Source organism: Homo sapiens, chromosome 14 (assembly GCF_000001405.40).
Source record: "Homo sapiens chromosome 14, GRCh38.p14 Primary Assembly".
In the NCBI taxonomy this organism is placed as follows: domain Eukaryota; kingdom Metazoa; phylum Chordata; class Mammalia; order Primates; family Hominidae; genus Homo; species Homo sapiens.
In genome coordinates, this window is record NC_000014.9 from 31,611,911 (window position 1) to 31,627,407 (window position 15,497).

Genomic DNA, 15,497 nt, shown 5'->3' on the forward strand with positions numbered 1-15,497 from the left:
AAAAATCAAATAAAAATGGATGAAAAACTTTGAGACCTTCAACTGTGAAGCTACTAAAAGAAAACATTGGGAAAGATCTCCAGGACATTGGCTTCAACAAACATTTCTTGAGCAATACCCAACAAGCACAGGCAACCAAAGCAAAAATGGGCAAATGGTATAGCATCAAGTTAAAAAGCTGCTGCAGAGCAAAGGAAACAATCAACAAAGTAAAGAACAACCCACAGAATGAGAGAAAATATTTGCAAACTACACATCTGACAAGACATTAATAATGAATATATTACTTTGTACATTAATTTTAATGGCAAAAACTGCAATTACTTTTGCACCAACCTGATATAAGGAGCTCAGACAAATCTATAGGAAAACAATCTAATAATCTGATAAAAAATGGACAACAGATTTGAATAGGCATTTCTCAAAAGAAGACATGCAAATAGCAAACAGGCATATGAAAAGGTGCTCAACAGGCTGGGCGCAGTGGCTCACGCCTGTAATCCCAGCACTTGGGAGGCCAAGGCGGGCGGATCATGAGGTCAAGAGATAGAGACCATCTGGCCAACATGGTGAAACCCCATCTCTACTAAAAATACAAAAATTAGCTGGGCGTGGTGGCATGTGCCTGTAATCCCAGCTACTTAGGAGGCTGAGGCAGGAGAATTGCTCGAACCCAGGAGGCGGAGGTTGCAGTGAGCCAAGATCGTGCCACTGCACTCCAGCCTGGCAACAGAGCAAGACTCTGTCTCAGAAAAAAAAAAGAAAAGAAAAGAAAAGAAAAAAAAAGGTGCTCAACATTACTGATCATCAGAGAAATGCAAATCAAAACTCCAGTGAGATATCATCTCCCTTTAGTTAAAATGGCTTATATCCAAAAGGCAGAAAATAACAAATGCAAGGATGTGGAGGAAAGGGAACCCTTGTATACTGTTGGTGTACATAGTGGTTGAACCACTATGGAGAACAATTTGGAAGTTCCTCAAAAAAACAAAAAATAGAGCTACCATATGACCCAGCAATCCCACTGTTGGGTATATACCCAAAAGGAAGGAAATCAGTATATTGAAGAGATACCTACACTCCCATGTTTGTTGCAGCACTGTTCACAATAGCTAAGATTTGAAGGCAACCTAAGTGTCCATCAACAGATGAATGGATACAGAAAATGTGGTACGTATACACAATGGGTACTAGTCAGCCATAAAAAGGAACGAGATCCTGTTATTTGCAACAACATGGATGGAACTGGAGATCATTATGTTAAATGAAATAAGCCAGGCACAGAAGGATAAACATTGCATATTCTCACCTCTTTGTGGGATCTAAAAATCAAAACAATTGAACTCATGGACAGAGAGAGTAGAAGGATCGTTACCAGAGGCTGGGAAGGGTAGTAGGGGAGTTGAGGGGATGTGGGGATGGTTAATGGATACAAAAAGATGGTTAGGAAGAATGAATAGATGAACTATTTGATAGCACAGCAAGGTAACTGTAGTCCGTAATAACTTATTGTACATTTAAAAATAACTAAGAGAGTGTAATTGGATTTTTTTTTTTTTGAGGTGGAGTCTCGCTCCTTAGCCCAGGCTGGAGTGCAGTGGTGCGATCTCAGGTCACAGCAACCTCTGCCTCCCAGGTTCCCGTTCAAGCAATTCTTCTGTTTCAGCCTCCTAAGTAGCCGGGATTATAGGCACGCACCACCATGCCCAGCTAATTTTTGTATTTTTAGTAGAGATGGGGTTTCACCATGTTGGCCAGGCTGGTCTTGAACTCCTGACCTTGTGATCCTCCTGCCTCAGCCTCCCAAAGTGCTGGGATTACAGGTGTGAGCCACTGCGCCCGGCCTAATTGGATTGTTTACAACACAAAGGATAAATGCTTGAGAGGATGGTACCCTATCTCCATGTTGTGATTATTACACATTGTATGCCTATATCAAAACGTCTCATGTACCCCATAAATATATACATACTATGTACTCACAAAAATTAAAAATAAAAAATTAAAAAAGAAGTCTTCAATAAGAGATATATATATATATAGAAAATAAAATGGCTTGTGTATGTTTGTATTCATTTTATTGCATCTATTTGATAATTTTTGATTTTTAAAATATAAAATTTGGTAGTATCAAAGTCCAGAACTGAAACGTTGACTTCTTTATGGATGGGGCTTATGGGGGATATGTAATGCTGGTCAGTTTTAAATACAGTAGTATTGTGGGGATTAGAACCCTAATATAGGGGCTAAGTTTTAACTGATAATCATTTGGTTCTTCTGTAAGCAAGTTTTTTTGTTTCAAACAAATAAATGATTGTATAATACATTTAACACAGAAGCCTCACAATAGCAGGATTATTCTTACTGTCAGATTACAACTACTATTGTTGGGCAAGAATAGCAACTAAAAATTGAGATACCAGTTTTAATAATCAGAAAGTACTGAGTTTAGACAGCTCTCTTTGAATATATTAGTAAGTAGCATAGCCTTTGGAGGAACATTTAGGGCTTTTTTCTTATAAATGTTTATCACAGTGGGTGAAAAAGGTTATACACACATACACACACATACACAGACACACATACATGTGTATATTTAAGTAGAACATATTTTTAATTTTTTTACATGCAACTTAACTAGCACTGGCTTGAAAACTTATGATTTTCTTAAAAAATTATGAAATTTGCTCTTAAAAACTTATGATTATTTTAAACCTAGTGTTAAAATTTTCAGTTGGGTCAAAAGTGATACATTAAAGGAGACATTATTTCTGTTTATTTAGTAGACCTTTATGACTGTCTTTTGTGTAGTTAGTCGGCATGAGAAATACTTGGTTATATGGTTATCAAATCAGATTTGGTCTTTCTCTGTGAACTTACAGTAGACATACTAGCCATTGATTATAAGCATCAGTACATGCTGTAATAGAAATATAAGTGTTTTTGTGTGTGTGTAAACCTAGAGATGGTAACTAAATGAAACTGGAGCTTTGAGATTTTTTGGAAGAGATGATTCTTGGGCTAAACTTTGCAAAGTAGATAAGCCAGGAGTCTGTTGTAAGAAGGTATTGAGGATTGACAATGAGGATGGTGATATAGTTTGGCTCTGTATCCCCACCCCAATGTCATGTTGAATTGTAATCCTCATGTGTTGAGGAATGGACCTGGTGGGAGGTGACTGGATCATGGGGGTGGTTTCTCCCATGCTGTTCTCATGATAGTGAGTGAGTTCTCATTAGATCTGAGGGTTTTAAAAGTATGGCACTTCCCCTCTCTCTCTCTCCTGCCACCAAGTAAGACGTGCCTTGCTTCCACTTTGCCTTCCACCATGATTGTAAGTTTTCTGAGGCATCCCCAGCCATGCAGAACTGTGAGTCAATTAAACCTTTTTTATTATTATTATACATTAAGTTCTGGGGTACATGTGCAGAACGTGCAGGTTTGTTACATAGGTATACACGTGCCATGGTGGATTGCTGCACCTATCAACCCATCATCTACATTAGGTATTTCTCCTAATGCTATCCCTACCCTAGCCCCCCCAACTCACTGACAGGCCCTAGTGTGTGATGTTCCCCTCCCTGTGTCCATATGTTCTCATTGTTCAACTCCCACTTATGAGTGAGAACATGTGGTGTTTGGTTTTCTATTCCTGTGTTAGTTTGCTGAGAATGATGATTTCCAGCTTCATCCATGTTCCTGCAAAGGACATGAACTCACCTTCTTTATGGCTGCATAATATTTCATGATATATACATGCCATATTTTCTTTATCCAGTCCATCATTGATGGGCATTTGGGTGGGTTCCAAGTCTTTGCTATTGTGAACAGTGCTGCAATAAACATACGTGTGCATGTGTCTTTATAGTAGAATGATCTATAATCCTTTGGGTATATACCCAGTAATGGGATTGCTGGGTCAAATGCTATTTCTGGTTCTAGATCCTTGAGGAATCACCACACTGTCTTCCACAATGGTTGAACTAATTTACACTCCTAGCAACAGTGTAAAAGCGTTCCTATTTCTCCACATCCTCTCCAGCATCTCGTTTCTTGACTTTTAAATGATCGCCATTCTAACTGGCGTGAGATGATATCTCATTGTGGTTTTGATTTGCTTTTCTCTAATGACCAGTGATGATGAGATTTTTTTCATATGTTTGTTGGCCACATGAATGTCTTCTTTTGAGAAGTGTCTCTTCATATCCTTTGCCCACTTTTTGATGGGGTTGTTTTTTTCTTTTTGTTTAAGTTCTTTTAGATTCTGCATATTAGCCCTTTGTCAGATGGATAGATTGCAAAAATTTTCTCCCATTCTGTAGGTTGCCTGTTCACTCTGATGATAGCTTCTTTTGCTGTGCAGAAGCTCTTTAGTTTAATTAGATGCCATTTATCAATTTTGGCTTTTGGTGTTTTAGTCATGAAGTCTTTGCCCATGCCTATGTCCTGAATGGTATTGCCTAGGTTTTCTTCTAGGGTTTTATGGTTTTAGGTCTTACGTTTAAGTCTTTAATCCATCTTGAGTTAATTTTTGTGTAAGGTGTAATGAAGGGATCCAGTTTCAGCTTTCTGCATATGGCTAGCCAGTTTTTTTTTAACACTGTTTATTAAATAGGGAATCCTTTCCCCATTGCTTGTTTTTGTCAGGTTTGTCAAAGATCAGATGGTTGTAGATGTGTGGCGTTATTTCTCAAGCCTCTGTTTTGTTCCAGTGGTGTATATATCTGTTTTGGTAGCAGTACCAAGCTGTTTTGGTAACTGTAGACTTGTAGTATAGTTTGAAGTCAGCTTGCATGACGCCTCCAGCTTTGTTCTTTTTGCTTAGGATTGTCTTGTCTATATGGGCTCTTTTTTTGTTCCATATGAAATGTAAAGTAGGTTTTTTCTAATTCTTTGAAGAAAGTCAATGGTAGCTGGATGGGAATAGCATTCAATCTATAAATTACTTTGGGTAGTATGGCCATTTTCACAATATTGAGTCTTCCTATCCATGAGCATGGAATTTTTTTTTCCATTTGTTTGTGTCCTCTCATTTTCTTGAGCAGTGGTTTGTAGTTCTCCTTGAAGAGGTCCTTCATGTCCCTTGTAAGTTGTATTCCTAGGTATTTTATGTTCTTTGTAGCAATTGTGAATGGGAGCTCACTCATGATTTGGCTCTCTGTTTGTCTGTTATTGGAGTATAGGAATGCTTGTGATTTTTGCACATTGGTTTTGTATCCTGAGACTTTGCTGAAGTTGCTTACCAGCTTAAGGAGATTTTGGGCTGAGATGATGGGGCTTTCTAAATATACAATCATGTCATCTGCAAACAGGGACAGTTTGACTTCCTCTCTTCCTAATTGAATACCCTTTATGTTTCTTTCTCTTGCCTTATTGCCCTGGCCAGAACTTCCAGTACTATGTGGAATAGGAGTGGTGAAAGAGAGCATCCTTGTCTTGTGTCAGTTTTCAAAGGGAATGCTTCCAGTTTTTGCCCATTCAGTATGATATTGGCTGTGGGTTTGTCATAAATAGCTCTTATTATTTTGAGATATGTTCCATCAATACCTAGTTTATTGAGAGTTTTTAGCAGGAAGGGGTGTTGAATTTTGTTGAAGGCCTTTTCTGCATCTATTGAGATAATCGTGTGGTTTTTGTCATTGGTTCTGTTTATGTGTTGGATCACGTTTATTGATTTGCATATGTTGAACCAGCCTTGCATCTCAGGGATGAAGCTGACTTGATCTTGGTAGATAAGTGTTTTGATGTGCTGCTGGATTCAGTTTGCCAGTATTTTACTGAGGAATTTCACATCGATGTTCATCGGGGATATAGGCTTGAAATTTTCTTTTTTTATTGTGTCTCTGCCAGGTTTTGGTATCAGGCTGATGCTGGCCTCATAAAATGAATTAGGGAGGAGTCCCTCTTTTTCTATTGATTGGAATAGTTTCAGAAGGAATGGTACCAGCTCCTCTTTGTACCTCTGGTAGAATTAGGCTGTGAATCCATCTGGGTCTGGACTTTTTTTTGTTGGTAGGCTATTAATTACTGCCTCAATTTCAGAACTTGTTTTTGGTCTATTCAGGGATTTGACTTCTTCCTGGTTTAGTCTTGGGAAGGTGTATGTCCAGGAATTTATCCATTTCTTCTAGATTTTCTAGTTTATTTCCGTAGAGGTGTTTATAGTATTCTCTCATGGTAGTTTGTATTTCTGTGGGATCAGTGGTGATATTTCCTTTATCTTTTTTAATTGCATCTATTTGATTCTTCTCTCTTTTCTTCTTTATTAGTCTGGCTAGCAGTCTATCTAGTTTGTTAATCTTTTCAAAATACCAGCTCCTGGATTCATTGATTTTTTGAAGGGTGTTTTGTGTCTCTATGTCCTTCAGTTCTGCTCTGATCTTAGTTATTTGTTGTGTTCTGCTGGCTTTTGAATTGGTTTGCTCTTGCTTCTCTAGTTCTTTTAATTGTGATGTTAGGGTGTCAATTTTAGATCTTTCCTGCTTTCTCTTTTGGGCATTTAGTGCCATAAATTTCCCTCTACACACTGCTTTAAATGTGTCCCAGAGATTCTGGTATGTTGTCTCTTTGTTCTCATTGGTTTCAAATAACAAACTTCTTTATTTCTGCCTTCATTTCATTATTTACCCAGTAGTCATTCAGGAGCAGGTTGTTCAGTTTCCATGTAGTTGTGCAGTTTTGAGTTTCTTAATCCTGAATTCTAATTTGATTGCACTGTGGTTGCAGAACCTGTTTGTTATGATTTCTGTTCTTTTGCATTTGTTGAGGAGTGTTTTACTTCAAATTATGTGATCAATTTTAGAAGCAGTGTGATGTGGTTCTGAGAAGAATGTATATTCTGTTGAGTTAGGGTGGAGAGTTCTGTAGATGTCTATTAGGTCTGCTTGGTCCTAACTTGAACTCAGAGCTGAGTTCAAGTCCTGGAAATCCTTGTGAATTTTCTGTCTCGTAGATCTGTCTAATATTGACAGTGGGGTGTTAAAGTGTCCCACTATTATTGTGTGGGAGTCCAAGTCTCTTTGTATGTCTCTAAGAACTTGCTTTACGAATCTGGGTGCTCCTGTATTGGGTGCATATATAGTTAGGATAGTTAGCTCTTCTTGTTGCATTGATGACTTCATCATTATGTAATGTCCTTGTTTCTTTTGATCTTTGTTGGTTTAAAGTCTGTTTTATCAGAGACTAGGATCGCAACCCATGCTATTTTTTTGCTTTCCATTTGCTTGGTAAATATTCCTCCCTCCCTTTATTTTGAGCCTATGTGTGTCTTTGCATGTGAGATGGGTCTCCTGAATACAGCACACCAATGGGTCTTGACTCTTTATCCAATTTGTCAGTCTGTGTGTTTTAATTGGGACATTTAGCCCATTTACATTTAAGGTTAATATTGTTATGTGTGAATTTGATCCTGTCATTAGGATGCTAGGTGGTTATTTTGCCCATTAGTTGATGCAGTTTCTTCATAGTGTCGATGGCCTTTACAATTTGGCATGTTTTTACAGTGGCTGTTACCAGTGATTCCTTTCCACGTTTTGTGCTTCCTTCAGAAGCTTTTGTAAGGCAGGCCTGGTGGTGACAAAATTTCTCAATATTTGCCTATTTGTAAAGGATTTTATTTCTGCTTTGCTTATGAATGTAGTTTGGTTGGATATGAAATTCTGGGTTGAAAATTCTTTTCTTTATGAATGTTGAACATTGGCCTCCACTTTCTTCTGGCTTGTAGGGTTTCTGCTGAGAGATCCGCTGTTAGTCTGATTGGCTTCCCTTTGTGGGTAACCCGGCCTTTCTCTCTGGCTGCCCTTAGCATTGTTTCCTTTATTTCAACCTTGGTGAATCCTACGATTATGTGCCTTAGGGTTGCTCTTTTCGAGGAGTGTGTTTTTGGTGTTTTTTGTATTTCCTGAATTTGAATGTTGGCCTGCCTTGCTCGGTTGGGGGAGTTCTCCTGGAAAACACTGAAGAGTGTTTTCCAACTTGGTTCCATTTTCCCTGTCATGTTCAAGTACGCCAATCACATGTAGATTTGGCCTATTTACATAGTCCCATATTTCTGGGAGGCTTTGTTTGCTTCTTTTAACTCTTTTTTCACTAATCTTCTCTTCTTGCTTTATTTCATTGAGTTGATCTTCAATCTGTGATATCCTTTCTTCTGCTTGATCAATTCAGCTATTGATACTTGTATATGCTTGATGAAGTTCTTGTGCTGTGTTTTTCAGCTCCATCATGTCATTTATGTTCTTTAAACCAGTTATTTTAGTTAGCAATTCATCTGACGTTTTTTCAAGGTTCTTAGCTTCCTGCCATTGGGTTAGAACATACTCCTGTAGCTCAGAGGAGTTTGTTATCCACCTTCTGAAGCCTACTACTGTCAATTTGTCAAACTCATTCTCTGTCTAGTTTTGTTCCCTTGCTTGCAAGGAGTTGTGATCCTTTGGAGGAGAAGAGGCATTCTGGTTTTTGGAATTTTCAGCCTTTTTGTACTGGTTTCTCCCCATCTTTGTGGATTTATCTACCTTTTGTCTTTTATGTTAGTGTCCTTTGCATGGGTTCTCTGAGTGGTTGTCCTTTTTGTTGATGTTGATACTATTCCTTTCTGTTTGTTACTTTATCTTCTAACAGTCAGGCCCCTGTGCTGCAGGTCTGCTGGAGTTTGCTGGAGGTCCACACCAGATCCTGTTTGCCTGGGTATCACCAGTAGAGGCTGCAGAGCAGCAAAGATTCCTGCATGTTTCTTCCTGTGGAAGCTTCATCCCAGAGAGGCACCCACCAGACGCCAGCCAGAGCTGTCCTGTATGAGGTGTCTGTTGGCCCCTACTGGGAGGTGTCTCCCAGTCAGGATACACAGGGGTCAGGGACCCCCTTGAGTAGGCAGTCTGCACCTTATCAGAGCTCGAACACTGTGCTGGGAGATCTGCTGCTCTCTTCAGAGCTGTTAGGCAGGGATGTTTAAGTCTGGTGAAGCTGCGCCCACAGCCGCACCTTCCCCCAGGGGCTCTGTCCCAGGGAGATGGGGGTTTTATCTATAAGTCCCTGACTGGGGCTGCTGCCTTTCTTTCAGAGATGCCCTGCCCAGAGAGGAGGAATCTAGAGGGGCAGTATGGCCGCACCAGCATTGCTGAGCTGCGGTGGGCTCCACCCACTTCAAACTTCCTGGCGGCTTTGTTTACACTGTGAGGGTAAAACCGCCTACTCAGGGCTCAGCAATGGCAGATGCTCCTCCCCCTACGAAGGTCGAGCGTCCCAGGTTGACCTCAGACTGCTGTGCTGGCATGAGAATTTCAAGCCAGTGGATCTTAGCTTGCTGGGCTCCGTGGGGTGGGACTTGCCGAGCCAGACCACTTGGCTTCCTGGCTTCAGCCCCCTTTCCAGGGGAGTGAACGGTTTTTTTTCTCACTGGCGTTCCAGGTGCCACTGAGGTATGAAAAATAAACTGCTCCAGGTAGCTCGGTGTCTGCCTAAGTGGCCTCCCAGTTTTGTGCTTGAAACCCAGGGCCCTGGTGGCATACATAGGTGCCAGAGGGAGTCTCATGGTCTGCCAGTTGCGAAGACCGTGGGAAATGTGCAGTATTTGGGCTGGAGTGCACAGTTCCTCTTGGTACAGTCTCTCACCACTTCCCTTGGCTGGGGGAGGGAAATCCCTTGATCCCTTGTGCTTCCCAGGTGAGGTGATGCCCCACCCTGCTTTGGCTCACCCTCCATGGGCCGTACCCACTGTCCAACCAGTCCCAATGAAATGAACTGGGTACCTCAGTTGGAAATGCAGAAATCACCCGCCTTCTGCGTCGATCTCGCTGGGAGCTGCAGACTGGAGCTGTTCTTATTCAGCCGTCTTGCCAGCAAATCCTAAACGTCTTTTTTAAAATAAAGTACCCAGTCTTAGGTAGTTCTTTATAGACGTGTGAAAATGGACTAATACAGGAAATTGGTACCGGTAGAGTGGGGTACTCCTCTAAAGATAACCTTAAAATGTGGAGGTGAGGTTGGAACTGGGTAACATGCAGAGGTTGGAATAGTTTGGAGGGCTCAGAAGAAGATAGGAAGATATGGGAAAGTTTAGAACTTCCTAGTGTCTGGTTGAATGGTTTTGACCAAGATGCTGATAGTGATATGCACAATGAAGTTTAGGCTGAGGTGGTCTTAGATGGAGATGAGGAACTTCTTGGGAATTGGAGTAAAGGTCACTCTTGCTATGCTTTAGCAAAGAGACTGGTGGCATTTTGCCCCTGCCCTAGAGAGTTGTGGAACTTTGAACTTGAGAGTGATGATTTAGGATATCTGGCAGAAGAAATCTCTAAGCAGCAAAGCATTCAAGATGTGACCTGGCCTTTTCTGAAAGCATACAGTCATATGCATTTACAAAGAGATGGTCTGAAATTTGAACTTAGTTTAAAGGGAAGCAGAGCATAAAAGTTTGGAAATATTGCAGCCTGACCATACGGTAGGAAAGCAAAACTCGTTTTTTTGGGGGGAGAAATTCAAGCTGGCTGCAGAAATTTGCGCAAGTAATGAGGAGCGAAATGTTCATCACCGAGACAATGGGGAGAATTTCTCCAGAGAATTTCAGGGATCTTCATGGCAGCCCCTCCCATCACGGGCTTAGGAGGGAAAAATGGTTTTATGATCCAGGCCCAGGACTCCACTGGTCTTTGCAGCCTTGGGACATGGCACCCTACATCCCAGACACTCTAGCTCCAGCTGTGGCTAAAAGACGCCAAGGTATGGCTCAGGCCATTCTTTCAGAGGGTGCACACTCCAAATCTTGGCAGCTTCCACATGCTGTTGGGCCTGCAAGTGCTCAGAAGACAAGAGTTCAGCTCTGGGAAGCTCTGCCTTGATTTCAGAGGATGTATGGAAATGCCTGGATGTCCAGGCAGAAGTCTGCTGCAGGGGCAGAGCCCCCATGGAGAACTTCTTTTAGGGCAATGCAGAGGGGGATATGTTAGATTGGAGCCCCCACAGAGTCCCTACTGGGGCACTTCCTAGAGGAGCTATGAGAAGAGGGCTACTGTCCTTCAGACCCCAGAATGGTAGATCCACCAACAGCTTGCACCGTGTGCTTGGGAAAGCCGTAGTCACTCAATGTCAGTTCATGAAAGCAGCCACAGGGGCTGTACTCTGCAGAGCCACAGGGGTGGAGCTGCCCAACTCCTCGGGAGCCCACCCCTTGCATCAGCATGTCCTGGATGTGAAACATGGAGTCAAAGGAGTTTATTCTGGAGCTCTAAAATTTAATGACTGCCCTACTGGATTTTGGACTTGCATGGGGCCTGTAGCCCCTTTGTTTTGGCCAATTTCTCCCATTTAGAATGGGATCATTTATGCAATGCCAGTACCCCCATTGTATCTTGCAAGTAGTTAACTTCTTTTTGATTTTACAGACTCATATGTGGAAGGGACTTGCCTTGGCTCAGATGAGACTTTGAACTTGGACTTCTGAGTTAATGCTGGAATGAGTTAAGACTTTGGGGGACTGTTAGGAAGGCATGATTGGTTTTGAAATATGAGAAGGACATAAGATTTGGGTGGGGCTGGGGGAATGATATTGTTTGGTTCAGTGTCCCCACCCAGATCTCATGTTGAATTGTAATCCCCATGTGTCAAGGGCAGGACCTGATGGAAGGTGATTGGATCATGCGGGATCCCCCCATGATAATGAGTGAGCCCCTGTCTCTTTCTTTCTTTTTTTGCTGCCATGTAGGACGTGCTTTGCTTCCACTTAGGCTTCTGCTATGATTGTAAGTTTCCTGAGGCCTGTCCAGTCACACAGAACTATGAGTCAATTAAACCTCTTTTCTTTATTACCCAGTCTTAGGTAGTTCTTTATAGTAGTATGAAAACGGACTAATACGTATGGCAATCAAGGGAGGGGGAATAGCAGGTGTTAAAAGTTGCACAATGTAAGCTTTTGGGCATGGTTAAAGTAAAAGTCTTTGAGGTTGAGTTGCAAGAGTGAGAGCAGGGCCAGAAAGGTAATTGAGAGTCCTGTCATAAATACCCTCTTGGGTTTGTTTGAAGAGTTGAAGTGTGTGATTCAGACACTATGAGATGCTATCATGGATTTTAGGTAAGGGAGTGACACTCAGTTTTGCATTCTGGGAGGAACATTTTGACAGCATTGTGAAGGAAACGTAATAGGACTAGATGCGATGTAGGGGCCAGTTGGGATGTTATGCAGTGATCCAGGTGAGATGTAATAAGTCCTGATTTAAGTCTGAAGTGATAGAAATGGAGAGGAGGAGACCTAATTGTGAGGTATTAAAGAGAATGGATGAATAGACCTTGGTAATTTATTGAGTATGACTGAGAAAAAGGTCTCTGAATGGCCCTTGATTTTCTGAGTTGGATGACTATGTAGATATATTATCCATCAGGATAGAGCAGATAGGAAAAAGGAATACATTTAAGAAATGTATTCTTAAATGATGAATTAGGTTATGATATGTTGAATTTGGTTGATGCCTAGACAGAATTAGTCAACAGATGGTTGGATATGTGTTTGGAATTAAGGAGAGAGGTTTGGGTTAAAGATACACATTTGTGAGTTAGCAGTATAGGTAATATTAAATAGTTGGAGTTGTTAGTTGAGATCAATGAATCTCAACCAGAGGTGATTTTGATGTGTAGAAGACATTTAGCAATGACTAAAGACTTTATTTATTTATTTATTTATTTGAGATGGAGTCTCACTCTGTTGCCCAGGCTGGAGTGCAGTGATGTAATCTCGGCTCACTGCAACCTCCGCCTCCTGAGTTTAAGCAATTCTTCTGCCTCAGCCTCCCGAGTAGCTTGGATTACAGGCGCCTGCCACCATGCCCAGCTAATTTTTGTATTTTTAGTAGAGACAGAGTTTCATCATGTTGGCCAGGCTGGTCTTGAACTCCTGACCTCAAGTGATCCGCCTGCCTTGGCCTCCCAAAGTGCCGGGATTACAGGTGTGAGCCACCGTGCCTGGCCAACTGAAGACATTATTGATTGTCAAATCTTGGGGATGCTACTGACATCTTATAGGTGGAGGCCAGAGATGCTGCTAATATCCTCCAATGCACAAGACACTCTCCCACAACAAATTATTATCCAGTCCAAAATGGCAGTTGTGTTCAGGTTGAGAAACCATGATTAGACAACATAACCCAAAAGAGTTTTAGAGGGAGTCAAGTATAGGATTGAGGGTAGAATTTTGGGAAATATTAGCCTAAGGTCATCAGAGAAAGGGTATGAAGAGGTGATCAGAGAAGTAGAAAGAAGACCAGGAAAGAACTGTACCCTAGAAGCCAAGGAAGCAGGGAGTTTTGGGAGGAAGTGGTTAACATTTTTAGCATGGCTAAATAGGATAATAATTGAAAATTACATTTTAGATTTGACAGTATGTTCAAAATTTCAGTTTATGAAACTGTTATGTTGAAGACATCTGAGCACAACTTAACATTGTGCTTCTCGAAGCAACATACTATGTGTGACCCTTAGGAAATCAATCATTTGGGAATCTATTGAGTATCTCTAGCCTAGTACATTGCTATGCTCTAGGGATAAGAAGTGGGTAAGATATAAATTCTATTTCTTTTCTTTCTTTTTTTTTTTTTTTGAGAGGGAGTCTTGCTCTTGTCGCCCAGGCTGGAGTGCAATGGCATGATCTCTGCTCACTGCAACCTCTGCTTCCCAGGCTCTAGTGATTCTCCTGCCTCAGCCTCCTGAGTAGCTGGGACTACAGGGGCATGCCACCACACCTGGCTCACTTTTGTATTTTTAGTAGAGACAGGGTTTCACCATATTGGCCAGGCTGGTCTCAAACTCCTGACTTCAAGTGATCTGCCAGCCTCAGCCTCCCAAAGTGCTGAAATTATAGGCATAAGCCACTGTGCCCGGCTGCTATGTCTGAGGGGTTCATAGTCCAGTGGGGGAGATGAAAAAATGTCAACACATTAAGTACCATAGTAAATAGTAGGGAATGAACAGAAGACCATGGAAACAGAGGAACTTCCAGTCTTTCTATGATGTAGTCCTGTCAACCCTGTACCCCGATAAGGCTTGCAATCAAAGAGCATAAAGAGAAACAAGAGAGTTGGGTATATTTTTAAAAAGGTAATGGAAAGATCATGTTTATCTTTTTAATTTTGATTAAAAAACTGACAGCAAAACTGTGGGCCATATATTCCATCTATTATGAACAAAATATGTGTGGGATATTTTATTTATAAATCACCTTTTATTACCTCCACACCAAAGTAGCCATTTACCTTTATCTTATTTTATTTTATTTTATTTTTTTATTTTGTTTTTTGCTCTGTCACCCAGGCTGGAGTGCAGTGGTGTGATCTCTGCTCACTGCAAACTCTGCCTCCTGGGTTCAAGCGATCCCCCTGCCTCAGCCTCCTTAGTAGTAGTCCCAGCGCCTGGCTAATTTTTGTATTTTTAGTAGAGACGGGTTCACCATGTTGATCAGGCTGGTCTCGAACTCCTGACCTCAGGTGATCCGCCTGCCTTGTCCTCCCAAAGTGCTGGGATTATAGGCATGAGCCACCGCACCTGGCCCACTGTTTAGCTTTAGAATGTGCCTCACAGACATATAATCTCTGTAACCTTCCTCTTTCCTTTTTATCTACTGCTGCTGCTTTGTAATTCCAGGCAGAGATTGGAAATGGCAGTAAGTAACCTAGGGTTGTGGCAATCTGAGAGTTGTTTAGAGAATATGTAAGATGGTCCTAGAGTTGGCTTTTTCTCTTGCCACTTCTTGCCAAAACGAGCTACACCTGTCTAATATCTAATCCCAGGTTTGACTCACAGGTGAGGAGTGAGACTTCTCACCAGTTTGTGTTCTTAAGGTTCCTAATTTAGATTATAAATAGAGCATAACAACATAAAATGTTAGAAATGGAAAGTCCTTTGGAGAGATTAATTCATATATGATTATTACCAGGGTTGAGTGATTTGCTTGTAATCATGTAATAGTTACTGACAGAATTGAAAGCCCAGAAGGGTGTCTTCATGGGAACCACATTTCAGGGACATTGGTTCCCAAACATCATGAAGGGAGTACATCAGAATCATCTACACTGCTTGTTAAATATACAGATTTCCAGGCTTACCGTAGACCCATGGAATAAAAAAAGGTCTGGGAGGAGCTATTGGTAGTTGTTACCTTATTAGTAGATAATTCAGAGTTATGAACAAAGTACTTTAAACTCTATCTAGCACATGGTAAGCACCAGTGCATATTGTTTTCATTAGTATTTTATCAGTATTATTGTACAATCTGAAATGTGGGAGGAAAAAAGGGAATTGAAATGATTTTTTTCCTTTTTAATTTCCCCGCTTTACTTTTTAAAAAAAAACTTTCTCATAAGGGAAACCTTATGAGAAACCAAGAAGTAATTAAAGTTCACAAGAAGGCATGTAGATGTCAAGAGTGTTGTATAATGATTTTTATTTGCTCAGGAAAAATTAGAAAGTGAAAGTGTAGAAATGCAATGCATTTCGGCTTACTCTGCTCATCTTCAGCT

At 41.1% G+C, this 15,497-nt stretch overlaps 1 protein-coding gene across 13 annotated transcripts in view, besides 1 other annotated feature; it reads left to right on the top strand.

Annotated features, from left to right (window-relative positions):
* Window positions 1-15,497, top strand: part of NUBPL (NUBP iron-sulfur cluster assembly factor, mitochondrial) — a 299,821-nt gene that overhangs the window by 50,507 nt on the left and 233,817 nt on the right. The window contains exon 5 of one of the 13 annotated variants that reach the window (XM_047431789.1): window positions 1,563-2,013. The exons of the other annotated variants lie outside the window; for them this stretch is intronic. Coding sequence (XP_047287745.1) covers window positions 1,563-1,678 — 116 coding nt within the window. The 3' untranslated portion in view covers window positions 1,679-2,013. Of the gene's footprint in view, window positions 1-1,562; window positions 2,014-15,497 lie in introns of those variants that run through there. 13 annotated transcript variants of the gene reach the window in all.
* Window positions 9,227-9,726: an enhancer, noted in NCBI's record as "H3K4me1 hESC enhancer chr14:32090343-32090842 (GRCh37/hg19 assembly coordinates)". NCBI's record gives its function as "activates a minimal SCP1, AML or CMV promoter by ChIP-STARR-seq in naive H9 embryonic stem cells {active_cell/tissue: H9 hESC(naive)}" and the evidence as "EXISTENCE:reporter gene assay evidence [ECO:0000049][PMID:30033119]".